General features: G+C 51.9%; 1 protein-coding gene across 5 annotated transcripts in view, besides 4 other annotated features; it reads left to right on the top strand.

Annotated features, from left to right (window-relative positions):
* CCDC88C (coiled-coil domain containing 88C) overlaps positions 1-27,326 on the top strand; it is a 146,498-nt gene that overhangs the window by 101,775 nt on the left and 17,397 nt on the right. For all 5 annotated transcript variants that reach the window (NR_189158.1, NR_189159.1, NM_001080414.4 and 2 more), the window contains 12 exons: positions 259-396; positions 1,896-2,966; positions 6,060-6,187; positions 7,554-7,695; positions 8,820-9,008; positions 10,120-10,281; positions 12,068-12,345; positions 15,976-16,119; positions 18,555-18,741; positions 21,728-21,873; positions 24,962-25,051; positions 26,703-26,941. Coding sequence is in view for 3 of the 5 variants with exons in the window: in NM_001080414.4 (NP_001073883.2) it covers positions 259-396; positions 1,896-2,966; positions 6,060-6,187; positions 7,554-7,695; positions 8,820-9,008; positions 10,120-10,281; positions 12,068-12,345; positions 15,976-16,119; positions 18,555-18,741; positions 21,728-21,873; positions 24,962-25,051; positions 26,703-26,941 (2,914 nt within the window). In the remaining 2 variants the exon portion in view is untranslated. The remainder of the gene's footprint in view (positions 1-258; positions 397-1,895; positions 2,967-6,059; positions 6,188-7,553; positions 7,696-8,819; positions 9,009-10,119; positions 10,282-12,067; positions 12,346-15,975; positions 16,120-18,554; positions 18,742-21,727; positions 21,874-24,961; positions 25,052-26,702; positions 26,942-27,326) is intronic.
* Positions 9,090-9,923: an enhancer, noted in NCBI's record as "OCT4-NANOG-H3K27ac-H3K4me1 hESC enhancer chr14:91772467-91773300 (GRCh37/hg19 assembly coordinates)". NCBI's record gives its function as "activates a minimal SCP1, AML or CMV promoter by ChIP-STARR-seq in naive and primed H9 embryonic stem cells {active_cell/tissue: H9 hESC(naive and primed)}" and the evidence as "EXISTENCE:reporter gene assay evidence [ECO:0000049][PMID:30033119]".
* Positions 9,924-10,759: an enhancer, noted in NCBI's record as "OCT4-NANOG-H3K27ac-H3K4me1 hESC enhancer chr14:91771631-91772466 (GRCh37/hg19 assembly coordinates)". NCBI's record gives its function as "activates a minimal SCP1, AML or CMV promoter by ChIP-STARR-seq in naive and primed H9 embryonic stem cells {active_cell/tissue: H9 hESC(naive and primed)}" and the evidence as "EXISTENCE:reporter gene assay evidence [ECO:0000049][PMID:30033119]".
* Positions 12,464-12,623: a silencer, noted in NCBI's record as "silent region_6023". NCBI's record gives its function as "represses an Ori minimal core promoter by ATAC-STARR-seq in GM12878 lymphoblastoid cells {active_cell/tissue: GM12878}" and the evidence as "EXISTENCE:reporter gene assay evidence [ECO:0000049][PMID:35858748]".
* Positions 12,784-12,843: a silencer, noted in NCBI's record as "silent region_6022". NCBI's record gives its function as "represses an Ori minimal core promoter by ATAC-STARR-seq in GM12878 lymphoblastoid cells {active_cell/tissue: GM12878}" and the evidence as "EXISTENCE:reporter gene assay evidence [ECO:0000049][PMID:35858748]".

Below are 27,326 nucleotides of genomic sequence, written 5' to 3'. Positions count from 1 at the left end.
TCAGGCGGTGGAGCACATGGCAGCAAGGATGGGGCAGAGGGACGCTGGGGGGATGGTGATGGTTTGCTTCCTGGTGACTTTCTGTCTTAAGAGTGACAGCTGTGGTGTGGGGAGTTGCTACAGAATGATGTCAGGAGGTCTTCCCTTGAGAAAAGACCCATCAGTGCATTCTGTTGGGGTGGTTTCTGTTTTGTTTTAAATCATGGTTCACTTCGTAGGACTGATGTCTGCACTGGGCTGGGTCTTTTGGTTCTGCAGATTGAAAAGTTACAAACCCAGCTGGAGAGAGAAAAGCAGAGCAACCAAGATCTGGAGACCCTCAGTGAGGAGCTGATCAGAGAGAAGGAGCAGCTGCAGAGTGACATGGAGACCCTGAAGGCTGACAAAGCCAGGCAGGTAGGTGCCTCCACCACTAACGCCTCTCCTAGAACCCCTGCCTGCAAGACGGAGAGCCGGGATTACAGCCATTCCTGGTACTGTATTGTGGATGCATGGATTATCCGTTACCTAGCTTAGCCACAGCTTAAATCAGCAATTCTCAATTTCCCAACTGGCGGTGGGAAAAGGTGGGGTGAATTTTGCCTCCCAAGGGACATTTGGCAATGTCTCAAGACATTTTTGATTGTCGTGACCCCGGGGAAGAGAGGGGGTGGTGCTCCTGGCATGGAGTGGGTGGAGGCCAAGGATGCTGCTACATATTCTGCAGTGCGCAGGTCAGGAACACTCCATCTGCAAATGTTCTTAGTGCCCCAGCTGAGAACCCTGGCAAATCCGTGTGGTTTTATTTGCCTCACACGGCGGGCAGTCCAGGGCTGATGTAGTGGCTCAGGGATGCCATCAGGAACCAGGCCTCTTGCCTACAGCTCTGCCAGCCTTAGCAGTGGCTGCTGCACATCCCTAAGGTACAAGCAGGAGAAAGGTGGAGGGCTTAGCATCACAGGGAAACCCTCCCAAGGATGCTCCGTAGACGTCACGTTGGCCAGAACTAACGTGTGGCTACCTCTGCCTGCAAAGAATGCCAGGGCACCAAGTATTTTAGTTTTTTGTTTTTGTTTATGTTTTCTTTTGTTTAATAGAGATGGGATCTCACAGTGTTGCCCAGGCCGGTCTCGAACTCCTGGGCTCAAGTGATCCTCCCGTCTTAGCTTCCCAAAGTGTTGGGATTACAGGCATGAGCCACCATCACTGGCCCCAAGTATTTTAGCTTTTTGGCATCTGTAGTAGAGGAATAAAAAGCCCAGAGAAGATGGTTAGAATGGTGCATGGTAAACAGACGGACAGGGCCCTGCCCAGATGTTGCTCACAGCCAGGAAGGCACACTTCCAGGTGACAGGCAAGATGATCTCAGGAGGGTGCTACTGAGAGAATAGGGTGCTGAGGGAGAGAATACTGGGATACACGGCTACCTTAGAATCATCATGCCAGGATGTTTTGGGGAACTGACCCCAAGTATAAGAAAGAGCCAGTGAGGCTGATAGCCAGAGGAAAGTACTCCAGGCAGAGGGATCAGCATGTGCAAAGTGTTCACAGTCAGCTGGGCTAGGAGCAGTGAGCAGGAGGTGGAGAGTAGTGTAAGCAGAGGCTGCAGAGGTGGGCAGGGCCCGGCTACCAGAGACCAAGAGAAACCGCTGAAACTTAAGTGAGGGAGAGAGATGTATTTACATTTTAAAATCATCCTGGCTGCTCTGAGTGTATTCTGACTTGAACCATCTAAGTGGTGGTGTCTGTGCCCACTCACCTGTGTCTGTCAAGCCTCTGGGGAACGCACAGGCAGTGTCTGAGCACAGGTAGGACAGCCGTTCAAGGCCTTCTCTCTCCCATCCCCAGTGTGAGCCCATGTCACTGAAATAGGTTCCTGCAGCAGCCTGGGTTGTGCCTGTTGTGTTTTCCCGTAGATCAAGGACCTTGAGCAGGAAAAGGACCACCTCAACCGAGCCATGTGGTCGCTGCGGGAGAGGTCGCAGGTCAGCAGTGAGGCCCGCATGAAAGACGTGGAGAAGGAGAACAAAGCCCTCCACCAGACGGTGACGGAGGCCAATGGCAAGCTCAGCCAGTTGGAGTTTGAGAAGCGGCAGCTGCACAGGGACTTGGAGCAGGCCAAGGAGAAGGGGGAGCGGGCAGAGAAGCTGGAGAGGGAGCTACAGCGACTCCAGGAGGAGAACGGGAGGCTGGCCAGGAAGGTGACCTCCCTGGAGACAGCCACCGAGAAAGTCGAGGCCCTGGAGCATGAGAGCCAGGGCCTGCAGCTGGAGAACCGGACTCTGAGGAAGTCTCTGGACACCTTGCAGAACGTGTCCCTGCAGCTTGAGGGCCTGGAGCGTGACAACAAGCAGCTGGACGCAGAGAACCTGGAGCTGCGCAGGCTGGTGGAGACCATGCGCTTCACCAGCACCAAGCTGGCACAGATGGAGAGGGAGAACCAGCAGCTGGAGCGTGAGAAGGAGGAGCTGAGGAAGAACGTGGATCTGCTCAAGGCGCTGGGCAAGAAGTCAGAGCGCCTGGAGCTCAGCTACCAGAGCGTGAGCGCTGAGAACCTCCGGCTGCAGCAGAGCCTGGAGAGCAGCAGCCACAAGACGCAGACCTTGGAGAGTGAGCTGGGCGAGCTGGAGGCTGAGCGCCAGGCGCTGCGGCGGGACCTGGAGGCCCTCCGGCTGGCCAATGCACAGTTGGAGGGGGCCGAGAAGGACAGGAAGGCCCTGGAGCAGGAGGTGGCCCAGCTCGAGAAGGATAAGAAGCTGCTGGAGAAGGAGGCCAAGCGGCTGTGGCAGCAGGTGGAGCTCAAGGATGCAGTCTTGGACGATAGCACTGCCAAACTGTCCGCCGTTGAGAAGGAGAGCCGCGCGCTGGACAAGGAGCTGGCCCGCTGCAGGGACGCAGCCGGCAAGCTGAAGGAGCTGGAGAAGGACAACCGGGACCTCACCAAGCAAGTCACCGTGCATGCAAGGACACTGACAACTCTGAGGGAGGTGAGCAAACACAGGCGGCGCCTGTAAGGGGATTGGCAGATGGTGGTAGTGGGTTCTGTGGTGCATGGTTTCAGGAGAGAAATAAGACTCTGTGTCCTCCTTAAATGCTTTATCTAATTCTAAACAGCAATACCTAAAGGTCTAAGAACCCAGTGAATACCACGTATTACAATCTTACAACCCAGAGATAACGCTTCTCATAGTTTGAGTTGTTTCGTTTCATCATTTTCCCTCGTGTGTACAGACACATGCTTGATGTCATACTTACACACAGGTGAGCTGTTGTGGTTTTTATTAATTATGTTGTGGTTTTTGTTATTTTAGATTTCAAAGCCACAATTTCCCAATGGCCGTAAGATATTTGTTTGTTTGTTTATGTATTTATTTATTTATTTTTGAGACGGAGTCTCACTGTCGTCCAGGCTGGAGTGTTGTTGCGTGATCTCGGCTCACTGCAACCTCTGCCTCCCAGATTCAAGCGATTCTTGTGCCTCAGCATCCCACATAGCTGGGCCTACAGATGCACACTACCACACCTGGCTAATCTTTTTGTATTTTTAGTAGAGACGGGTTTTCACCATGTTGGCCAGGCTGGTCTCGAACGCCTGACCTCAGGTGACCCACCCGCCTCGGCCTCCCAAAGTGCTGGGATTACAGGCATGAGCCACCGCGCCCGACCCTTACTTATTTTTGAGACAGAATCTTGCTTTGTCACCCAGGCTGGAGTGCAGTGGTGTGACCCCAGCTCACTGCAGGCTCCACCTCCTGGGTTCAAGCGATTCTCCTGCCTCAGCCTCCTAAGTATTGGGATTACAGACACGCACCATCACGCCTCGCTAATTTTTGTATTTTTAGTAGAGGTGGGGTTTCGCCATCTTGGCCAGGCTGGTCTTGAACTCTTGACCTCAGGGGATCCATCTGCCTCAGGCTCCCAAAGTGCTGGGATTACAGGTGTGGGCCACTGCACCTGGCCAAGATATTTAATCCTATAGGTTTACTGTAATTATTTTTTAGATGTTTAGATTGTTTTAGTGTTTTCCACTATTTTATTTTTATTATTTTTTAAATTTTATTACTTTTTTCCTAGAATCCTTTCCTGAAGTTTTTTTTAAATTTATTTTTAAAATTTTATTACCTTTTTTCCTAGAATCCTCTTTTCCACTATTTTAAATAATACTAGACATCCTTGTATACATAGACCTTCATGAATCAAACTATTTTTTAGGGTATATTCTCAGAAATGGAATTACAGGGTCAAAGAGTGTGAACGTGTTAGTCTCTTGAGGGATATAAAATCCTCCAGAATTCCATGTTGTCCTTACCCTGGTAAGTGTTGTGTGGGCCACCTGGGCATTTGTTTAGTATGCTGGGGTGAGTAGATGGCTGCTCTGGGAAATGGCTTCAGCAGCTGAGTGGCCCAGCACCGTTTATCTCACTCGTGAAGGGTCTAGTGTGGGGACCCTGCCCACATGGGAGAAGCCAGGCGCTGGAGTCACTGCACTTAAGGCCCAGTTCAGGCACCTGGCTTCTGCCATCTTGAGGCTTGGGCACCCCTAGTGGAGTCCTCTTCTGGTTCCTCGGCCTGTGGTGGGTAGAGGAGGAAGAGAGAGAGTGAGGAAGATCATGCTGCATGGGTGGGGCTCAGCAGCACAGCCACACCCAACCACAGGGTGCCACATGCCACACAAGAGAAGGAAATGGGTTTGGTGAACACTGAGCAGTCTCCACACTGGAAAGAGATGACTGACGATCCATGCAGGCAATTCCATGTGCTGTGGGGGAGAGATCCAAAATATGAATGCAGGCAGAGCCCCGGCTCGTTAGCGTAGGTTAGTTAGGCTGTGCTACGATAGCCAACCCCAGCATCTCTGCTGCTCATCACAGCCAAGGCTTACTTCTTGCTCACCAGAGTCCAGGGGACCCTTCAGGGAGTCTGTCCTCTGCTTGACCCAGCAGTCCAGGCTGTTTTGATCTCGTGGCTCCACGGTCTCTACACCAGGCTTGGGCGGTTGCCATGGCAGGTGAAAGGGCAGCTGAATGTCACACATAGGCTCTTCTGTGCTCCAGTCAGGGAGTCACCCACATCACTCCCACTTCATCCCCTTTGCCAGAGCTGGTGACCTGGCTTCAGCTGATACAGGGTGGCTGGGAAATTTGGGGGAGCAGGTAATGAGCATCACTGTCTCTGTCACAGTGCCGTTCAGGTCTGAGGATTTGGTAGGAGGGTTAAGCGTGCATGCGAATGACTGTGACACCAGGCAGAAAACGGTCACTATCTAGAGAGCTACAAAGAGGTGCTGACGTAAACTGGGGTGGAGGAAGTGAACCACCGACATGCATTCAACACCCATGTTTTGAAAAGTAGACCAAGGCCGGGTGCAGTGGCTCGCGCCTGTAATCCCAGCACTTTGGAAGACCAAGGTAGAAAGATTGCTTGAGGCCAGGAGTTCAAGACCAACCTGGAAATATAGCAAGACCCCATCTCTACAAAAAATTTAAAAATTAGCCAGGTGTGCTGGTGCACACCTGTAATTCCAGCTACTGAGGAGGCTGAGGTGGAGGATCACCTGAGCCAGGAGTTCAAGGCTGCAGTGAGCTGTGATCACACCACTGCACTTCAGCCTAGGCAACCAAGCAAGACGCTGTCTCTAAAAAATGAAAAGTAAACCAGATCCAGGGTTTAAAATAAAATATTTCCCCTCTTTACACATTTTCTGTTTCAAAGTGTCTACAAGGGGCCTTTAATTACTTGTTGCTTTGTTGAAAAGTCAGCCATATTATCAGAAATCAAACATACTACTTAAAGGTCAACATAAGTGGCATTTCAAATACATGACTTAGAGAAGTGGCATATTAGATCCATCCTGACATGTAGCCACCTGGTCTGGTTGTTTTCAGCACCAGGAGGGCTGGACAAGTGCATTCATTGGCTTTCCTCGGGAAGAGCATCCCTGGGGTTCAGAGTCCCCTCGCTCCACACGGAGGCAGCCGTGGCCCGGGAGGACAGTTGCTCACACCCGGGCGGGACTGGCGCCTGGCCTTCCTGCGTGTTTTGCTGAGCTCCTATCCAGTGCTCTCTCCCCATCATTCCAGGACCTGGTGCTCGAGAAGCTGAAGAGCCAGCAGCTCAGCAGTGAGCTGGACAAGCTGAGCCAGGAACTGGAGAAGGTCGGCCTCAACAGGGAGCTGCTGTTGCAGGAGGACGACAGCGGCAGTGACACGTGAGGGCCTCTTCTCCCTCTCCCCATCGTGGGAGCACTTCCTCCACTGTTCAGTCTGCAGGCTCCTCACCCTCCCCTGAGACCTCCATGAACTCTCTACTGCCGAGGGCTGTGACCTCACGCGGTTCCTTGAACCCAAAGTTCCTTGGTCGTTTCTGTTCCAGCTCTTGTTCCTTGAGGTTCTCAGATAGGTGTGGAAGGAGATTTTGTCTGATGAAAAAGCTTCTTAATTTTTTTTTTTTTTTTTTTGAGACAGGGTCTGGCTCTGTTGTCCAGGCTGGAGTGTAGTATTATGATTTCGGCTTACCTCCATGTCCACCTCCCGGGTTCAAGCGATCCTCCAGCCCTAGCTGGAGACCACTACCTAGCTGGGACCACAGGCATGCACCGCCACACCTGGCTAATCCTTGTATGTTTTGTATAGAGGGGGTTTCGCCATATTAGCCAGGCTGGTCTTGAACTCCTGAGCTCAAAGCGATCTGCCCACCTCAGCCTCCCAAAATGCTGGGATTACAGGTGTGAGCCACTGCTCCCAGCCACGCTTCTTAATTTTTTTAAAAAATTAGACTATTACAGTTTTTCCCTGCAATGCTTGCTTAAATGATAATGGGTTTTGTTGTTGTTTTGAGACGAAGTGTCACTCTGTCATCCAGGCAGGAGTGCAGTGGTGTGATCCCGGCTCAGTGATGAAAACCTCCGCCTCCTGGTTTTAAGTGATTCTTACGCCTCAGCCTCCTGAGTAGCTGAGATTACAGACATGCATCACCATGCCCAGCTAATTTTTGTATTTTTTTAGTAGAGACGGGGTTTCACCATGTTGGCCAGACTGGTCTCGAACGCCTGACCTCAAGTGATCCTCCCGCCTTGGCATCCCAAAGTGCCGGGATTACAGGCATGAGCCACTGTGCTCGGCCTGATCTTGTTTTTTGGGAAATCGAACATCTTGGACTTTTCCTGGACTTGTAACCGAGAAGATCCACATGCCTTATAGTAGGAGTCCTCTCTGGTGGAAAGGCCTTAGACTTACCACTTAACCTAGCACTGTGACCTTGGGCAAATTGCTTAACCTTTCTGAGACTCAGTTTCCCCTTCGGTAAAATGGCAATAATAATTCCTGCCTCAGACAGTGACTGTAAAACTGTAGCCGTGGTGTCGCCTTTGAAGGTTTCACAGGTGTTTCTACCCAGGGAACCCCCCAAAGGGCTCTGGGAAGATGAGTTTTGGCTCGTGAGTTCTTCTGGGCCAAAAGCTGCAGCAGCTCCGTAACCCAGCCTAATGGAAGGAGTGATGTGTTGGCAGCGAGGACACTGGGAACTTGCGGAGAGGAAGTAGATAAGTGATACTATTGTATCTTTGTGTTTTCCAGAAAATACAAGATTTTGGAGGGCAGAAATGAATCAGCATTAAAAACAACACTAGCCATGAAAGAAGAAAAGATTGTGCTCTTAGAAGCACAGATGGAAGAGAAAGCGAGCCTAAATCGCCAGTTAGAGAGTGAGCTGCAGATGGTGAGTGTGGAGGTTGCACTGTGGGGCCCAGCTGCCCATTCTCAGCCTCACCCTTTCCAGCCCCTCACCTGTATAGCAGTGGGGTGGCCTGGATACCCATTTTCTAGGGCAGGGGTAGATGCGCCACAGAGTGACTGAGGGAGCCACCCTCAGAATCACACGCACTAGGGCCAAACAGAACCAGAATAAGAGCCACAGGCCTGCGGGGAGGCGGGCAGTGGCCTAGAGCAGCACCAAGTCCACCAGGCAAGATACGGGAACACCCCTGAGAGCCCTCCATGAAACTGCACGTTGGGCACTGAGCAACGGCCTGCAGAGTCTCACGGGTGCCCTCTGATGAGACAGATGGGTGCACAGGGACTCATGAGGACATGCACATGTCTACTTCTGGGTGCATGCATGCACACGTATTTGCCACATGTGTGAACACACTTTCCATACACATATAGATGTGTGTTCTCCACACATACACACTCTCCACATATGCACATGCTCCTTACACATGTACATGCATGCTCTCTACACACATGTATTATACATGTGCCCACCACGTGTGTGCACACTCCACACACAAACACATGCTCCTCACACACAGGTGTACACACCCGACACGTGCTCTCAATGTGCACACTCTCACAGGTGATCAGGTGTGCACACTCCCCCCTTCCACACACGCACTCTTCCAGCCTCAGTTTTGAACACATGCCATGCTTCTTGGCTGCAGGATTGAATAGGAATCTGGATAAAGCTGCTCCAGTGCCAGCAGGGGCTTTGAGACCTCATCCCTGTTCACCTCCTGTATCCTCAGCCTCACCTCTGTTTGAGGGAGTGGATAACTGAGGCTCAGGAAAGCAGGAAGCCACATGGCTAAAGCAGGGACTGAGGCAGGAACGGGTTGCAGGCCCCCACCTCCCTGTCCTCTCTGGAAGGGAAGGGAAAATGTAGGGCAGAGGGTTGGTGCCTTCCCCTCAAAAGAAAAGGAGCGCGTCTGGCTTACACAGACCAGGGCGGGCGAGTATGGGGAGTGTGGAGGGTGTGGTGCAGGTTGCCCTCAGCCACTCACTCGGGGCTCCAGGCCAGGCTGCTTCCGCCTAAAGCCTCCTTGCTTATTGTCACACCTGTAGCTAAAGAAGGAGTGTGAGACCCTCAGGCAGAACCAGGGAGAGGGGCAGCACTTGCAGAACTCTTTCAAGCACCCTGCGGGGAAGACAGCCGCCAGTCACCAGGGGAAGGAGGCCTGGGGGCCCGGCCATAAGGAAGCCACCATGGAGCTTCTCCGAGTGAAGGACCGGGCCATCGAGCTGGAGCGGAATGTGAGTGGGCTGGCCTGGGCATGGTCCATCGGGGACAGAGAGAGAGAGACTGCCTTATCAGTAGTCCCATTGATGACTTGTCATTGCTGTAAAGAACACAGGAGATTTAGCCAGATCTAGTTGGACACGTCTTGAGTTGCAGGTCCTGTGGGCCCCTCTTCATTTGAGGTCCCTTCCGTGATTCTCACATCAGGGGCACACACAGCCTTCATGGCAATTCAGCCTCTTCCTGTAGTGTTGTGTCTTTCAGTGCCCAGTACCAGGGATTGGGAAACTCCAGCCCCCACCTGCTTTTGTAAATAAAGTTTTATTAGCAGACAGTCATGCCCATTGTTTAGAGGTTGTCTGGGGCTGCTTCCCCTACAGTGACAATGATTCTTTAGGTTGAGATGGAAACCCCATGGCTGGCAAACCCAAAAGTATTTCCTATCTGGCCCTTTCTAGAAAAAGTCTGCTAATGCATGTCCGTGCCTCTGACTTTGATTCTCAACAATGACTTTATGAAGTTCAGAGTGGTGATTTTCATTATTTGATCGATGATAAAGCTCAAACAGAATTTCAGAGACTTGACCCAAAGCCCCATGCTAATAAGGGATAGTAAAAGACTACAGGTCCTGGCCCTTAGCCCAGTTGGTGGCAAACTTTAACATGGTCTTTATTAGTCTCACATAATGTGAAGTGCCTTATTCTACTTGCTGTCACCTCTGAGTAAGGCTGTAGCCTAAGGCTTTGACTCCCTGTCCTGTGAGATACTCAGGGTTGGAGTCAATGGGAGATGGAACCAGCTCACAGAAATGCACTCTTAGGGTGTTCAACAGAAAACAAAGGAAAGCATTAAAGAGACAAAGGAAGCAGCTTTAACTCCAGCATGCATTCACCTCCCACTCACATATGCAGGTGTCAGGCAGTGTCCCCATGATGTGTAGCCTTTAAAAAAAATCCTGCTGATTATCTTTTTCAAAGAGAGAAAATATACTGACCTCATCCAGCGGACCCTCGATTTGGCCCCCAAAACATCAACTTTTGAGGGTTCGTTACAACCCAAGTACCTGTGGCCAGTTAGCATTTACCCAGTTGGAGTTTGATTCGCTCATGCCTCCCGATCTTCTAGAATGCAGCTCTGCAGGCTGAGAAGCAGCTGCTAAAGGAACAGCTGCAGCACCTGGAGACCCAGAACGTGACCTTCAGCAGCCAGATCTTGACACTGCAGAAACAGAGCGCCTTCCTGCAGGAGCACAACACCACACTGCAGACCCAGACCGCCAAGCTGCAGGTGAGCGGGGCTCCCAACACCAGTGGTCACAAGCCTGGCGGGATGTTTATCTGTGGCTCCTGGGGACCAACTGGGGGCATTAGGACTCCTCAAAAGCAGCAGATCAAAGCACAAAGCAGTTTGGGATTTTGTTAATAGAGACCCGCTGTAAACAGTGATCAGTGAAGGGGGTGATAGTTTTTAAGCCATTTTCAGTGATTGAGAAAATGGCTGCATGGGCCATTTTCATTTCATTTCTCTCCTTTTACTTGCATTCTTGTCCATGTTTTCCAGTCTTTTCCTTGAAGTGTTACTAGGACTGACTTGGAAAAGAGGTTTCAGGATTAAGCTTGGTTTAACAAAGTTAACCAGGTTTCTTTACTGTAGAACCTGGCAGAACTCTTTCTTTTTAAGCTAATGTGAATTTTTAATCTCTAAGAGGGAAGTGTAGGATATTAAGTGGCTCCCAGACTGTTGAGAGCATCAAGCAGAACTAGGTTGTGTGCCACTTCAGATGCTTGTTTTCATTTATCGCCTATAGACTGTGGGGAAATAAATTATTTATTGCAGTTTTTGTTTGTTTGTTTTGAGATGGAGTCTCACTCTGTCACCCAGGCTGGAGTGCAGTGGTGCGATCTCGGCTCACTGCAAGCTCCACCTCCCAGGTTCAAGTGATTCTTGTGCCTTGGCTAATTTTTGTATTTTTAGTAGAGATGGGATTTCACGAAGTTAGCCAGGCTGGTCTCGAACTCCTGACCTCAAATGATCCACCCACCTCACCTCCCAAAGTGCTGGGATTACAGGCGTGAGCCACCACACCTGGCTTTTTATTGCAATTTCTGAGAAAAGTTTGAAAATATGTATCTTATGGGGCAAGGACAATCAACAGGAAACTGTTTGGCAAAGAAATCGGAATTTGTTCTGGTAACAAGAAAATAGTATATTGACTTACTATTTTGAATTTTTCTTACAGTCTTAATCTGGTTTTAATATCAGGGTAATTCTGGCTTCATAAAATGATTTGGGAAGTATTCCCTCCTCTTCAGTTTTCTGATGATTTTGGATGTTGTTGGATGGAGAGGTATACAAATATCAATTATGTTAAGTAGGTTGATAGTATTGTTCAGGTATTCTATATCCTTATTTACAGATATTCTGTATACTTGTTCTAGAAAATAGGTTCTGTTTTCATTGTAAGAGACAGGGTTTCACTCTGTCGCCCAGGCTGGAGTGCAGTGCTGCAATCATAGCTCACTATAACCTCCAACTCCTGGGCTCAAGCAGTCCTCCTGCCTCAGCCTCCCAAGTAGCTGGGACTATAGGCATACAACACCATGCCCAGCTAAGTTAAAAATACTTTTTTTTTGTAGAGATGGGGTCTCACTATGTTGCTCAGGCTGGTCTTGAATTCTTTGGTTCAAGTGACCCTCCTGCTTCTGCTTCCTGAAGTCCTGGGATTACAAGCCTGAGCCACCACAGTCAGCTGAAAAGAGGTTTTTAAAAAATAGTCAGAGAGGGCACAGCACACAAGGGAGTTATCCAGGGAAAGGACATCATCTGCCCCAGCAGCTCACATTTGTGGCGAGTGGCTCAGGACTGAAGTACCCTCTGAGTGCCCGTCTATGCGGTTTAGTCCCCTTCCCACAGCAGTTGCTTAAGTTCTGGAACAGCCATCCTGGGTACCCTCTGGGTCTTCTGCCCTGAGGGTCCCGGCTATTTTCGTGTCTGCTCGAGCACTTGACCTGCTCCCCAGCCCTCCTCGCTGACTGTGGGGCCTGCGCCACGCCGCGCTTCTCCCTCTCGGCAGGTGGAGAACTCCACGCTGAGTTCCCAGAGCGCAGCGCTCACCGCGCAGTACACGCTGCTGCAGAACCACCACACGGCCAAGGAGACGGAGAACGAAAGCCTGCAGAGGCAGCAGGAGCAACTTACAGCGGCCTACGAGGCCCTGCTGCAGGACCACGAGCACCTGGGCACGCTGCACGAGCGGCAATCGGCCGAGTACGAGGCCCTCATCCGCCAGCACAGCTGCCTAAAGACACTGCATCGGAATCTGGAGCTGGAGCACAAGGAGCTCGGGGAGAGGTAGGGCCTGGGGAAGGAAGGGGATCTGGGGAGGGGTAGAGTCCAGAGGAGAGGCTGGGCCCAGGGGGAAAGGTGGGGCCTGGGGTAGATGGGTGGGACCTAGGGGAGAGGCAGGGCCTGGGGAAGATGGGTGGAGCCTGGAGGAGATGGGTGGGACCTGGGGGAGAGTGATAGAGCCTGGAGGAGGGGTGGGGCCTGGGGAGAGGGGTGGAGCCTGGAGGAGAGGCAGAGCCTGGGGAGAGAGGTGGAGCCTGGAGAGAGGCGGGGTCTGGGGGAGGTGGGTAGGACCTGTGGGAAAGGCAGGGACTGGGGGAGATGGGTGGAGCCTGGACGAGAGGCGGGGGCCTCGTGAGAAGGGTGGAGCCTGGAGGAGAGGTGGAGCCTGGAGCAGAGGTGGGGTCTCAGGAGAGGGTCTCAGGAGAGGCAGGGCTTTGGGGAAGTGGGCAGGGCCCGGGGGAGAGGCAGGGTGTGTGGGGAGGGGAGGTGAAGGAGGGTGGAGGTGGGGCCCCTGGGTAGGCCTGCAGCGGGGCCTGAGGCCAGGCCTGGGGAGTCTGTCAGGCTGCGCGGAGGACTGGGACTTCCCTGGACCTCCCCTGCAGGAAATCTCTTGGCCAGCTGCTTCCCATTGTTGGGGCACCTGAGCTTTCCCAAAAGGAAGGAAATAAACGTTACCTTTAGCAATTTGGAATTTGTGCAACTGAAGACAGTAGTAAGAGGGGCTCCTGTGTGGAGAAGGGGATGCCTCTACTATTTCCAGTGGGCCTTTGGGGCCCTGATCCCTAAGGGTTCTCTTCTGTCTCTTTTCTCCCCAAAACAGAAATAAGGAGGGAATTCTCCACGGCTCCGTTTGTAGGGGTATGCCTTCTCTGGCCTCCCAGCTCTTCTCTTTCATATCAAGGTCTCGCTTGCTTTTTTTCATTTTTAACCTTTAATTATGGAAACTTCCGAACATATAGAAAGGAAGCAGAATCATATAGTGAAACTCTTGTGTATGCATCATGCACTCTCGACAGTCATTTATGTCCTGCTGTTCTCATTTCATGTGCACCTCCCACTCTCCACACCCTCACCCCATTTTTTACAGGTAAAACTTACATTGAAATGCACACATCTTAACTTTGCACTCTTGACAGTTCATGGTCTTGGGTTTTGTATTCATTAAGTCAGCCAATCTGGGCTGGGATTCTGTCTCCTGCTGATCAGTGATGGTACCAGGCACCTGCGCAGGGCATGGCAGGATCCAGGGAGGGCTAGGAGAGGTAGGATGCTGCTCTCCAGAGTCTGAGGGGCAGGTGTGATGTGCACCTGAATCTGATGCATGAGAGAGACATGGCTAAAGAGAGGCTCTCAGGTACTTGGAGTACAACAGAGGGAGCAAGATCTACTTCCTTTGCCTGGGAAATGGCCCTGCTGATGGTATATCCTTTGGAGCCGCCTCAACAACATGGCTAAGTGATCGTTGGTTCTTCAAGGTGGGAGTGGGGAGGACATCTCCACGGTCAGGAGCCACAAATGTCATTGAATCACAAAAGCCTTGTGCGGGCGCTGATGATGCTTGTGGGTTCATGGGTGGTGATGACATTCATTTATTCACTTGCCAAGTGCTTCCTTTTTGTCTCTATCTGGAGTTCTTCACCCCTTTTATCCATCCAGATCTCCATCCTTCAGGGGCTGTTGAGGCATCTGAAACTATAAGACTACTCCTTCCGGCCTAAAGTAGCATCTTCTGCCTCTTTTCACTTTGATCTCTCCCTCGTCTTCCCCCACCCATCTTGTTATTTGTGTGACATTTATTGTGTACGTGGTGCTGTGTCTAGACATGGTAGGAGTTGCACCCAGCTGACAAACTAATGAAGCATTCGTGTAAGTCTGATACTAGCATGATGCCCAGCACTCACCAGGCACTTGCGTGCCTTATTCTTAGTGTTATGTTATGTCGTATTAAATAATGCTGTATTGTATTCTTTCCTTCTTTCTTTATTTTGAGATGGAGTCTCACTCTGTCGCCCAGGCTGGAGTGCAGTGGAGCGATCTTGGCTCACAGCAGCCTCCACCTCCCGGCTTCAAGCAATCCTCCTACTTCAGCCTCCCAAGTAGCTGGGACTACAGGCATGCACCACCACACCCGGCTAATTTTTGTATTTTTTAGTAGAGATGGGGTTTCACCATGTTGACCAGGCTGGTTTTGAACTCCCTACCTCAAGTGATCCACCTGTCTCGGCCTCCCAAAATGCTGGGATTATAGGCGTGAGCCACCGTGCTGACCCCTTATTGTATTCTTAATGTGCATTCAGAGAGCAAAGGTTTTGGCAGGTGGAGTCTGGACTGTTGTTTTCCCTGCAGGTCCTTGCTCAGTACAGCATGTGGTAGTTACTCAGTGCTTTTTGCTGGTTGGACAGATGACTGGAGGCTCCCTTGCTGTGTCTGCAGCAGGGCTACAGGTTTAGGAGTGTAGGTACATGGCACACAAGGATGATGGTTTTCTCTTCTTCTCATTTGACACTAAAATCGGAGACGCTCACCCACTCATTGCTCTAACAAGCATTCACTACGTGTCATTCCTCACACGGGGATTCAGTGGTGAGTAAGAGTTATAAAGTTTCTGCCCTACAGTTGGGTCATTGCTAATGGTTAGAGACATGCTTGATTAATGTGCTTTTCCAACAAGGTGCAGTGGAGTCCTGAAGAGAAAGGCCAGAAACCCCAGGGACACTGGCTAGCCTCTGTCAGATTGTCTTTGGGTGTGAGACACTCAGGAAGGGGTCTGTAGAGAAGAATTTGCCTGAATGGGAAAGATCAGGAGACTGTGCCTCAGACTTCTCAACACTTCCAGTCTGCTAGGAGATCCTGGGTCACCCGTGAACACACGAGGTTGAAACAGGCTGGGAAGGGGAGGGGCCGGGACCTATGGGGCTACATCATTGTACTCTGCCCCCCAAGAGATGGCCAGTGCAGCCGACAAAGATAGATTAGAGCCTGGAGAAGATTAGAGCCTTGAGGGTAAGGAGAAAGTTGTGGGGACGGTGAGGGCTGTGGCTAAGGCGCCTGAGGAGAGCTGCTGTGTGTATGTGACAACTAGTCCCTGGCAGCTCCTGGGTGAGCCTCTGTCCCCTGGGGAAGGCCAGACTAAGAACAAGTGGATGCAGGCTCCTAAGGGGAGAGGGAGAGGCTTCTCCAGCCCTTGGAGGGTGAGATTAGCTGTGATGTGCAGCGGAATTCCACTGTTTGTTTTGTGGTTTCTCTTAGATTTATTTGTGCTTAGTGAACTACCTAGTAGCGTATTTATAATTCCCTAAAAGAGAAGGGCATGGAGCTCAGAAAATGTAGTCATCACATTGTCAGGTGGCTAAAGGAAGAGCGACTGCTTTATCAGGGCATGGAGGGACTATGGAGACAGAACGGGCTGGAGGAAGAGGATTCTGGGCTCCAGGGCTTGGCGCTGGCCTTGACATGGCTCCCAGTGGCTGCGCTCCCCGCCTGTTCCCTGCCCCATGCCCCTCACTTCTGCAGAGAGACTCTCCAGAGGAATCCCATTTTCTCACGGGAGGCACGCAGATCCTCTGGGATGTGAGTTACCTGTCGGAAAAGAAGGCCCTGGCCAGACTCACGGCAGGTGCTTCCCTCCAACAGGCACGGTGACATGCTGAAGCGCAAGGCGGAGCTGGAGGAGCGGGAGAAGGTCTTGACCACTGAGCGAGAGGCGCTGCAGCAGGAGCAGAGGACAAACGCCCTCGCCATGGGCGAGAACCAGAGGCTGCGGGGCGAGCTGGACAGGTGAGCGCCGGCGCCCGGCCCTGCACATAGCAGCACCCCAGATTCTGTTCAGACTCTCCTTGCATAGCAACCACTGAGAAGTTCAAGTCCCCTGGCGATCGTGGATTTTTATCCCTTGCTGTGTGAACAGCTGGGTGGGTAAAATAAGCTAAAGGGCAACTCTAGCTGGTTGCTGGCATGAGAGCACTCAGGTGACACCTGGGGATGGCGCGTCGTCTGAGTTAAGTGGTTCTCCCCTCCCACCCTTGTGGTGAGGATTGCATCAGGCACAGGTGAATTCATCATCTGGCATAAGCCTGCCTCTTGCTCATGAAGGAGAAACTGCAGATTGCTCATGATTCACAGAACCCCTATTTGTGAATCCACCTACTTGCTAAAGTTTTATTTGCCGCCCCAAGACCAGTCTCCGTGGGGCTTTCGTGGACACGCACAGAGTGGTGAAATGCGGGAGTCACTGGATGCGCACCTTCCCAGCTGAGGGCACACACGACAGCACGCTGCCTTCTTGTTTCAGCTCCTACTGCAAACAAATGTCCCTTTCAGAATCTCTTCAATGCCACGGTTTTCATATTTTGTGCTTTCGGGAAGTGACTTTGCTGTTTAAAATGACCCACAATTGTAGTACTGAAGTGCTGTTTCATGTCCCTAAGCAGAAGGTGGCTGTGATGTGCCTTACAGAGAAAAAGTCTTAGATAAGCTTTGTTCAGGCATGAGTTATAGTGCTGTTGGCTGTGAATTGCTGCATAAGGTATCTTCAAACAGAAACCCACATAAAACAAGGTTATGTATTGATCAGTAACAAAAATGTGGCCAGAGGCTCCCGGGAACCTAATTCTATATTTTTTCCCTAGGCTGGATGCTTCGCTGTTCACTAATTCAGTGTTTACAGCAACTTTATAGAATGTGACTACCACACATAATGAGAATCGACTATACTATTGTTATCTTTTTGGCTTTCTTTTTAACAGATGAGGAAACAGGTTGGGAGAGATTAAATAACTTGTTCCGAGTCAGTGTTTCTAGTGAATAGCAGAGTCAGGATGGAATCCAGGTCCTGTCTCATTGCAAAGGCTTGACCATACGAAATTCTTCCTCCTCCCACATACTCGAGTTCGTGTATACGGGGGGTTAGAAACTCAGTTACCTTGGCTCCCCAGGCAAATAAAGCACATGGGTGAAACAGTACCAGACATAGACCACAGACTGTTGAACGGAGAATGCACATCGTCTAAAAGGGCAGCAGAGAATCGGCTCCAGCAAAGGCCGCCAGCTGGAGGCGGGCCCGGGACTGCCTGGGCAGCCTTTTGTTTTTTATATTTTAAGAGAACCTGAATGTTTGGGTATTGATGTAAACTTCAAATTTTTTAATGCTGGCCACTAAATTTTTTTTTTTTTTTTGAGATGGGATCTTGCTCAGCCACTGAGGCTGGAGTGACATGATCATGGCTCACTGCAGCCTTAACTCCCTGGGCCTAAGTGATCCTCCCAGCCCAGCCTCCCAAGTAGCTGGGAGCACAGGTGTGCGTCACTATGCCCGGCAACATTTTTTTTTTTGAGACGGAGTCTTGCTCTGTCACCAGGCTGGAGTGCAGTGGCGCGATCTCGGCTCACTGCAAGCTCCGCCTCCCGGGTTCCCGGCAACTTTTTTCTACTTTTTGCAGAGATGGGGGTCTCACTATGTCGCCTAGGCTGGTGTGGAACTGGCCTCAAGCGATCCTCCCTCCTCAGCCTCCCAGAGTGCTGGGATTACAGGCGTGAGCCACCATACCTGGTCAACTAATTTGTTTTTAAAAAGTAAAATTGTACAGGCCAAATAAGACACGTCTATGTCCAAATCAAGTCCACAAGACCCTGGTAATGAGCTTTCTGATATAAATCTCCAGAGAACTCCCAGTTGGATAATAGTTGTTTTGATGATAGCAATTTTAATAGATTTACATAATACACACCATCTCACACTTTATCTCACGAGCTGAAATTAGAAAGGGGCTTGGAATTGGGAAGAAGAGCTGGGCAGAGACAGAATTTTAGAGCAAAAATGGTCTAGTTTAGTGGTTTAAACATTTTTTTAAACAGCAGAATCTTGTTTTTCAAGTGTACACAGATACCAAAGCTGTAGCATGGAAGTGATGGTAGCAGTGATGCTGTGTTGAAACAGGTGTCTGAGCTTGCCTGCTCAGTCTCCCTGGAGGCTCAGTGTAGTGGCATCAGGGGTACCCTCATGCATCCCCAAAGAACACAGTTTGCTGATGGACAGTTTTGTCCAAGCTCCTTATTTTATGCATGGAAAAAAAAAAAAGCCCAGAGAGGTTGTGATTTTGTCTAAGGTTGCACAGCCTGCCACTGTCAGAGCTGGGACATAGCCCAGGTCTCTGGGCCGTTACCTGTTTGTCAGGCTCTTCAGCTCCTTTGCCCTGTGACTCTTCCTCCTCCAGGGTCAATTTCCTGCACCACCAGCTGAAGGGGGAGTACGAGGAGCTGCACGCCCACACCAAGGAGCTGAAAACCTCACTGAACAACGCGCAGCTGGAGCTCAACCGCTGGCAGGCCCGCTTCGACGAGCTGAAGGAGCAGCACCAGACCATGGACATCTCGCTGACCAAGCTGGACAACCACTGTGAGGTGAGGCCAGCGCCAGGGGAGCCTCGGGAGACAGGGATGAGTCCCCCAAGGGGACAGCCCAGGGCTCAGCCAAGCTGTGAGGGGTCCTCATGGGCATTTGTGCTCAAAGACAGAAATGTGTGGAGGTGGCACAGAGGCTGCGGTGAAGCCAGAGGTGCTGACGGGGGTCATTGTGGCTTCTGGTGGGACTGTATACGAAAACACCCCTGTCTGACCGTCACCTTTTGCAGGGTCGGGAGAGGCACAGTGGGGACGGTTGATGATGTTTTATCTCGATCCTCTTAGCTGTGTCTATACTGTCTTCCTACATCTCTTCAGTTCAGTAGTCACACTGTCCTAGAGAAGTGGTGTGAATTTGCTCCATTTTGGGGTGTGGCTGCCTCTGGGACGGAGCTCACTCGGGAGTCCCTGGCTTCCAGAGCCGTCCCTTCTAGTACACAAGGTTGGAAATGGCCTCACGCAGCAAGACCCTCTCCAGATGAGATCTTAACAGACCTCAGCACATGGAAGGCTGGTGAGGCAGGTCTGGCAGGGAGGAGCACGTAGGTCTCACCCCACCTCCTAGACAGCCCCAGGGACAGCTGGCACCTCAGGACAAGGTTTGCTCTTTGAGAAACAGTCTCAGACGCCTTTTGCCCAGATCCCTCAGTAGCCCTGTGAGACATCACAAATGAGGAAACCGAGGCGCAGGGTGCCAAGATGCCTTGTCACAGCCACCCACCCAGATCTTGTGCTGCCCCCTGAGAATGAGAGACCCTGGGACCCTGAGGGCCCCACGGGGGTGGAGGCGGGATGGAGGCAAAGGCCACGGCACTGCCTGTGGAATCCTCGCCCCCAGGGGCTGTGCTGTCACAGGCAGGTGCGTCAGGATCTTCCAGGAGGTTTCAGGTCAGGGGCTGCAGCGCAGGCCCCGTGGAAAAGGTCACGCTGATGAAGTGAAGGACTGGCAAGAGCTGGACATGTGTGGTAGGCTTTGCATGGGAAGGACTGATTTGCACAGAAATGGACAGGGGTACTTTTTGGAAGATGCTGATGATTCACTCAGGGTGGAACACAGGTCACGAGAGGGGACAAGGGAAGGGCTGTGGCCAGGATGGTGGCTTTTGGGGAGGGGTTCAGCAGAACTCCAGGTCCAGCACAAACCAGTCCCCCCAAACAGGCCACACATGGAAACCATGTTCGTCTCCCTGGGCTGGAGGAGCAAAAGACCTCAAGCCGGGTGGCTTAAGCCGCAGAGGTGGGTTTCTTCCGGTTGGGAGGCTGGACGTCCATGATCCGTGAACCGGCAGGGCTGAGCTGGTTTCTCCCAAGGCCTCTCCCTGGCTTGCAGGCAGTGCTCTTTTTCTCTGTGCGGGCTCATTCCCAGTATCTACGTGTCGAGATTTCCTTTTCTTGAAAGGACATCAGTCAGATTGGATCAGAGCCCACCCTCATGGCAGCCTCATTTTAACTTAATGGCCTCTTTATGGACCCTGTCTCCAAATGCAGTCCCATGCTAGGGACTGGGGCTTAGGGCTTCACTGTATGAATTCTGGGGACATGGTTCACCCTGTGGCAGAAGCGAAGCAGCATAAGCGAAGTGATGAGGGCGTGGCTGTGCTCGGAGCCGTGCTCGCCGCTCCTCCTAACCCGCCTCTCTCCAGGAGCCCATATGCCTTACATTGGGTTGGTTTGTTGCCCGGCATCTAATGAGGTGGAAGAGCAGCTCCCCCATCGTTACTGGGATGCACTGGCCCTCAGGATCATGGACTTGGGCTGAAGGGTGGGGCCCAGCCGGCTTGGTTCCCTGGGGCCCCCCCGGCCACACAGGGTCTTTCTGTTGGGCCAAAGCTGAGTTTCCAGGGACGGCCTTTCACCCTGCAGACCGCTGACTTGCCACGTTTGTGACGTGCCTGACTCCCAAGCCTCGTGCAGTTCTCTACACTGGGGAGACTAATGCTTTATTATGGTATTTGTTTTAATTCTTGCCCAAGCAATATAGCAGTGGCAATCACAGAAGTATTTTTAGTGAAAAAATGCCATAGCTTCACCTCCTTTTTCCTTCCAGTTCTTCTCACTGTATGCATAAATTATGTATAATTATATTAAAAACAGGTAGAATTTTGGTTTTTCTTTTAATGGTGAAGTTAAAGTTAGAATTGCTTATGGGGTGAAGAGGAGGGGACAGCCTATGTTTCCCACCTCCGGTGTACCAGGCATTTTGCTGTGTTCTCCTCTATGTTACTCAGTCCTTACGGTGGCCCCATGAGCCCATCCTCCTTTCTCATAGTCGCGTATTGGAATCCAAAGCCTGTGATTTTCCCATTGCACCCCAATCATACTCTAGAACAGAAGTTGGCAGACTTCAGGCCAGGCGCGGTGGTTCACGCCTGTAATCCCAGCACTTTGGGAGGCTGAAGCGGGTGGATCACCTGAGGTCAGGAGTTTGAGAACAGCCTGCCAACATGATGAAACCCCGTCTCTACTAAAAACACAAAAAATTAGCTGGGCGTGGTGGCACGCGCCTGTAATCCCAGCTGAGACTCAGGAGGCTGAGGCAGGAGAGTCGCTTGAACCCAGGAGGCGGAGGTTGCAGTGAGCCGAGGTCATGCCACTCCACTCCAGCCTGGGCAACAAGAGCAAAACTCCATCTCAAAACAAACAAACGAAAACATTATTGATGAGATTTTTCGTATTCTTTTTATTTGTACTAAGCCTTCAAAATCTGCTGCGTATTTTGCACTTGTGCATCATGATTCAGACTAGCTGCATTTTACTGCTCAGTAGCCATGTTGCCAGGGACATCTGGATTAAACAATGCAGCTGCAGAGGGAACTCAGCCATTCCCACGTTATTGGCCGTTTGGCCCTTTCCAAGTTTCCACTGGCGTAGATTATGCTGCGTTGAACATCTTTGTGCAGTGGCCTTCTTCCTTTGGGAGCTAGGTTCCCAGCAGTGGGAACACCGGGTCACATGGTGTCTGAGACGCTGTTGGTCTGTGTTCTAGCTGCTCTCCCGTCTCAAGGGGAACTTGGAGGAAGAAAATCATCACCTCCTGAGCCAGATCCAGCTGTTGAGCCAGCAGAACCAGATGCTTCTGGAGCAGAACATGGAGAACAAGGAGCAGTACCATGAGGAGCAGAAGCAGTACATGTAAGCAGGGAGTCCCTGAACCCCTCTCCGCACCCTCACCACAGCTGCACATCCTCAGTCTCTGGAGGTCCTGGCTTCCCATGCAGAGAGGAGCCCCTGGGCCCGTTGGGATCCTGAGGGCAGGGCACAGACCGATCACCAGCACGGACTGCCCTTAGTTTCCTGGAATGTTCTCAGTTTCTAGAGTTCTCAGTTGGCTTTTGTTTGCTCTTTCAGAGGCGCTTTCCACCACCAGAAACTTCTTTTCTCTGCTTCTAGAATTAAATTCACTTGAAAAAATCATGAGAACACTGAAGTATCTCAAGGGGGAGAATTCAAACTGAAGGCTGGGAATGAGTGCTGTACACCTGCCTGTGTCCCCCTGGATGGAGGGAAGTGGGCTTGTTGGGCCCTGTGAGGTGCACAGAACCAGTTCCCTGGTAGCCAGGAACCAGTAGGGGGAGGTAAAATGTGAACAGAGCTTCATCCATTACCAGCCAGATGTGAAGGGTTACATGAAGCATGGAAAAAAAACAGGGGGAGTTGAAGTCCACAGCTACCCCAGGGGGTCTGGGGGAGGCCCACAGGAGGTGGGCCATGGCAGGCGAGGGGACAGGAAGGTGGGCCGTGGCAGGCGAGGGGACAGGAAGGTGGGCCGTGGCAGGTGAGGGGACAGGAAGGTAGGCCGTGGCAGGTGAGGATGGGAAGGTGAGCTGTGGCAGGTGAGGATGGGAAGGTGGACCGTGGCAGGTGAGGACGGGAAGGTGGGCCGTGGCAGGTGAGGGGGCAGGAAGGTGGGCTGTGGCAGGCGAGGGGGCAGGAAGGTGGGCCGTGGCAGGCGAGGGGACAGGAAGGTGAGCTTTGGCAGGTGAGGATGGGAAGGTGGGCCGTGGCAGGTGAGGGGACAGGAAGGTCGGCCGTGGCAGGTGAGGATGGGAAGGTGGGCCATGGCAGGTGAGGGGGCAGGAAGGTGGGCCGTGGCAGGTGAGGGGACAGGAAGGTGAGCTGTGGCAGGTGAGGATGGGAAGGTGGGCTATGGCAGGTGAGGATGGGAAGGTGGGCTGTGGCAAGTGAGGACGGGAAGGTGGGCCGTGGCAGGTGAGGACAGGAAGGTGGGCTGTGGCAGGTGAGGGGACAGGAAGGTCAGCCGTGGCAGGTGAGGACGGGAAGGTGAGCTGTGGCAGGTGGTCTAAGTGCGGGGAATGTGCAGGAGGCACCCAGAGAGAAGGCTGGAAAAGGAGGTGGGCGCTCAGCTGTGGTAGCTTCCATGTCCAGCTAAAGATGTTGGATTCCTGGAGTTGTTTTGGAAGGGATACTACTCTGGCAGGGCCAGGGAAGCTTCCAGAAATAGAAGGCAAGGGGACGAACCCTGGTGCCAGGAATCTCGTGGTTCAGAAGTCGAGGAATCGAGAATCTAGAGTGGTTTCTGGATCCTAGCCATGGTGGTTGGGCTGTCCTTCCACGTGATCGGGAATGGCTGGTATTGGCGTCCGGGCAGGCATTGGTGTGCTGGCATCAGTGTGGGGAAGGCAAGAAGGGACGTGCTTGTGGTGGGACGTGGTCACTGTGGTCACAGTGAACACTGGTGTGCTATCCCAACTCTCTGATGTAACGATGCTCCTTTGTTATTCTGTCGGCTTCACCTACGTGTCTAGGGCTGGCGTGCCACCTTCGGGAGGATGGTTTGTATGTAAAAGCACACTGTAATTGTGGGGTGGAAATGACCCTGAAGTTGGCCCTCTATAATCCCGGTGATAAAATATCGCCAGCAGAGGTTGGGCAGGTGCTAACTGGAAGAAGTATAGGAGCACTCAGGGGGATTATTTGATGACGTTTTTGCATTAGACAGTGTCTACTCCAGGCCAGTGGGTTGGCAGGCTTCCTGGGGCCTGCTCCGGGCCCTGGAGTTCGTGTGAGTCTGTGGGGCCAACCCCAGCCATGAAGCACTCAAGGCTTAAGGCTCAGCAGCACGGCCGTGAGCACAGAACACCAGCACACGGATGTCGAGTCAAGGGACTGGGAGCGGAGCGTGGCTGGGGTCACTTGTTACAGGGGCTCACCTCACCGTGAGCTCTTGGGAAAGCCCTCAGTTGGGGCAGGACCTTGGCAGCTTCGAGAATGAGCTGTTACCTCTCATGTAAGGCCTCGTTTTCAGACGAGGAAACCAAGGGTCTGGGCTCTCAAGACCACCCAGCGCTGAGGCATGAGTGGGCAGCAGTCCTCAGTACCATGGGCAGCGCGGCTCCGAATGCACTGTGGGCGCAGCCCCGTGACTCCCTAAGTGCAAACAGAAGCTTTCTGTTTGTATGAGGAAGGCCAAGGTCTCCCCGGTAAGCAGAGGTGCCTGAGCCCGCCCAAGATTCAAGAGATATCTCTTTGGTCCCTGGCAGAGTTTTTGAAAAGTGGCTCAATTTCCAATATTTAGGAATCGGGAGATTTGGCTTCATCATCTGGGCATCTGGTATCTCGGGAAGTCCGCCCCACTGTGCCCTGGTTCATTCCCCTGTGGCAGCAGGGTCTGCCGGAGATGGCAGCACAGGGGCTCACTGCAGTCCCCACTAGCGCCCCTGGTTTCTCCAGCCCTGCTGTGCTCATTAACTTCTCTTTCTGGCCCCTGAAAGCTTCTCAGTTTGCTTCTGAGTGGGAATGGGCCTGAGTCATGCATCTGACTTTGCTGAGCTGACTTTTTCAACCTCACTGCCCAGGTGTTGTTAATATGTACCCCCTGAACCCCGCCCCGTCACCACTGCGGGGTAGGTTCTGCCTGACCCCAGGAGCATCTCACGTCTTGAACAACCTGGAAGGAGAATCCTTGGGTCTTCCGAGCGTGAGTTTTCAGATTGTTAGAAGTTTGCTGCCTTGAGCTCGCTCACAGCTGGGTCCCAGGGGCTTCAGTAAATCTCAGGGTCATAGAGCTCCCTGAACCCACGGCGCATGCCACCATTCCCGTATTCCAAACTCAGTGACCATGACGGTGGTGAGCACCCTCATCTCAATCCTGGAAAAATACCAGCCCCGGGTACACCAGGTTCCAGGCTGGGCCGATGAGTAAATTCACTTGTTTGATTTAAAACTGGATTGATAGGTTTTCTTTCTCCTATATTCACAGAGACAAATTAAATGCCTTACGAAGACATAAGGAAAAGCTGGAAGAAAAAATCATGGATCAATACAAGTTCTATGATCCTCCTCCAAAGAAGTGAGTTGATTTAAGTGTAGTGGCATAAAGACAGAACTTAAAAGCTTCCTTTTCTGTGCACAGGGTGAAAGCAGCCATCTAGGGCAGGCCCCGCACCATCCACCTGTGCACAGATGCCTCCCACATCAGAGAGAGTTCAGAATCCTTCCAGCCTGCCTCTGTACTCTAGCTTGTCCTGTGAGGGGTGGCCAATGTCTGGTGACCCCAATGAGACACAGGCTTCATTTAGCTATGAGCCTTTTTTAAGGGGGCAGAGCATCCGTGGTCCTGGAGTCACTCAAGCAGGATGGCGGGGCTGCCTTGTCAGGTTTTCGTCTCAGGATTAAACATGACCTGGACACCCATGTTCCTATTTTGGAGAGGATGCTTGGGCAGCACACTTGGCCCAGCCCCCATGGTCTTCAAATGTGGGAACCTTTTGACCTTATGCAGATTTTTCTGGATTCACAGAACCTCAGGGTGGCTTCATGGACATGTCTCTTCCCCAGAGAGCAGCAGCTCTCCCCAAGTGGGGCTGGCCCACCCTAGCAGTGCTGCCCCTTGTCCACGGCCTGAGCCCCAGGAATTGTCCCTTCGGATTGTCCTGGCCCAGCCTTGAAGTCAAAATCACTGCAAATCCCTTGAGGTCTCTCTGGGAATCCAGAACCACAGAATTTCCGAACCTCAGTCTGTTTTTGGTTTTTGTGTGTGTGCTTATTGTTTTGTTTTGTTTTGTTTTGTTTTGAGACGGAGTCTCGCTGTGACATCCAGGTTGGAGTGCAATGGCACAGTCTCAGCTCACTGCAACCTCCGCTTCCCAGGTTGAAGCCATCCTCCTGCCTCACCCTCCCGAGTAGCTGGGATTACAGGCATGTGCCACCACGCCCAGCTAATTTTTGTATTTTTAGTAGAGATGGGGTTTCACCATGTTGGCCAGGCTGGTCTCGAACTCCTGACCTCAAGTTGATCCACCCACCTCGGCCTCCCAAAGTGCTGGGGTTACAGGCGTGAGCCACCATGCCTGGCCCAGAACCTCAGTCTGAATCTTCTGTTTGACACAGAAATTGAAGCCAAGATGAGAAACTGGAGTGATAATATAAATAGATGCTGTTTCGTTTCAGAGACGGGGTGAGAGCACAGGCAGGGTTCTCTTCATGTCACACCAGGATGCCCTCGGTGTCCAGCTCGCTGTGATGTTATTGCTTACTCTTTAAATGCACTGATTTTTAATCAAACAGCCTGCTCTCCTCTGCCCTCTCCACCTCACCCAGATTACTCAGTGCCAGGGAGGAGTCAAGGGAATGCCAGCTTATTTCACTGATTATTAACTTTAGCAGAAAATGAGATTCATGGAAATGGCTTTTTGACAGAAAAATTGCCAACTAAATTAAGCACGGCATCACTTCCTTCATCCTGGGAGACTAGAGTGGATTTCTGTCACAATGCACATGGCTCTACCATCCCCAGCCCTGTGCCAAACTGAGAATTAAGTTCTAGCTCCTGAGCCCCAAATATGATTACCATGGTCATGAGCGTCATTGTCCTGAACCCCACGTGAGTGGCCTAGCTTCCCAGACTGGGGAAGAACATCCCAGCCCATGTTAGGGAACCAGGGACCCACTGGGGGTGTGTGGGAGGGCTGGCTATGTCCTAAACATCTACTTCTAACCAGGAAGAACCACTGGATTGGAGCCAAAGCCTTAGTCAAACTCATCAAACCAAAGAAAGAGGGTTCGAGGGAACGCTTAAAATCCACCGTGGACAGCCCTCCCTGGCAGCTGGAGTCCTCAGACCCCGCCTCGCCGGCGGCCTCTCAGCCGCTCAGATCACAGGCCGAGAACCCCGACACCCCCGCACTGGGCTCCAACTGTGCAGAAGAGCGCGACGCCCACAACGGGTCTGTGGGGAAAGGTAGGGGCGGCCGTCCTGGCCGTGGTCGGGTGAGGAAGGGGGTGTCCTGAAGGGTCCCGCACCGGTGGCTGTGCACACGTGTGCAGGAACGTGCCAGGGGTGGGTGACTGCATGTGCGCCTTCGCTTAGATGTGTTACGAGCCAAGTAGAAATTCAGCGTGGCGACCGTTTTGTCCCATAATGCTTTTGTTACTTTATTTTATATTTTATTTTAATTTTTTTGAGATGGAGTTTCACTCTTGTTGCCCAGGCTAGAGTGCAGCCTGGCTGCCTCCCAGGTTCAAGTGATTCTCCTGCCTCAGCCTCCTACGTAGCTGGGATTATAGGCGCCCACCACCACGCCTGGCTAATTTTTTGTATTTTTAGTAGAGACGGGGTTTCACCA

Source organism: Homo sapiens, chromosome 14 (assembly GCF_000001405.40).
Source record: "Homo sapiens chromosome 14, GRCh38.p14 Primary Assembly".
Taxonomy (NCBI): domain Eukaryota; kingdom Metazoa; phylum Chordata; class Mammalia; order Primates; family Hominidae; genus Homo; species Homo sapiens.
The sequence above is the reverse complement of the archived record's forward strand: the minus strand, read 5'-3'. Positions and strand labels throughout refer to the sequence as shown.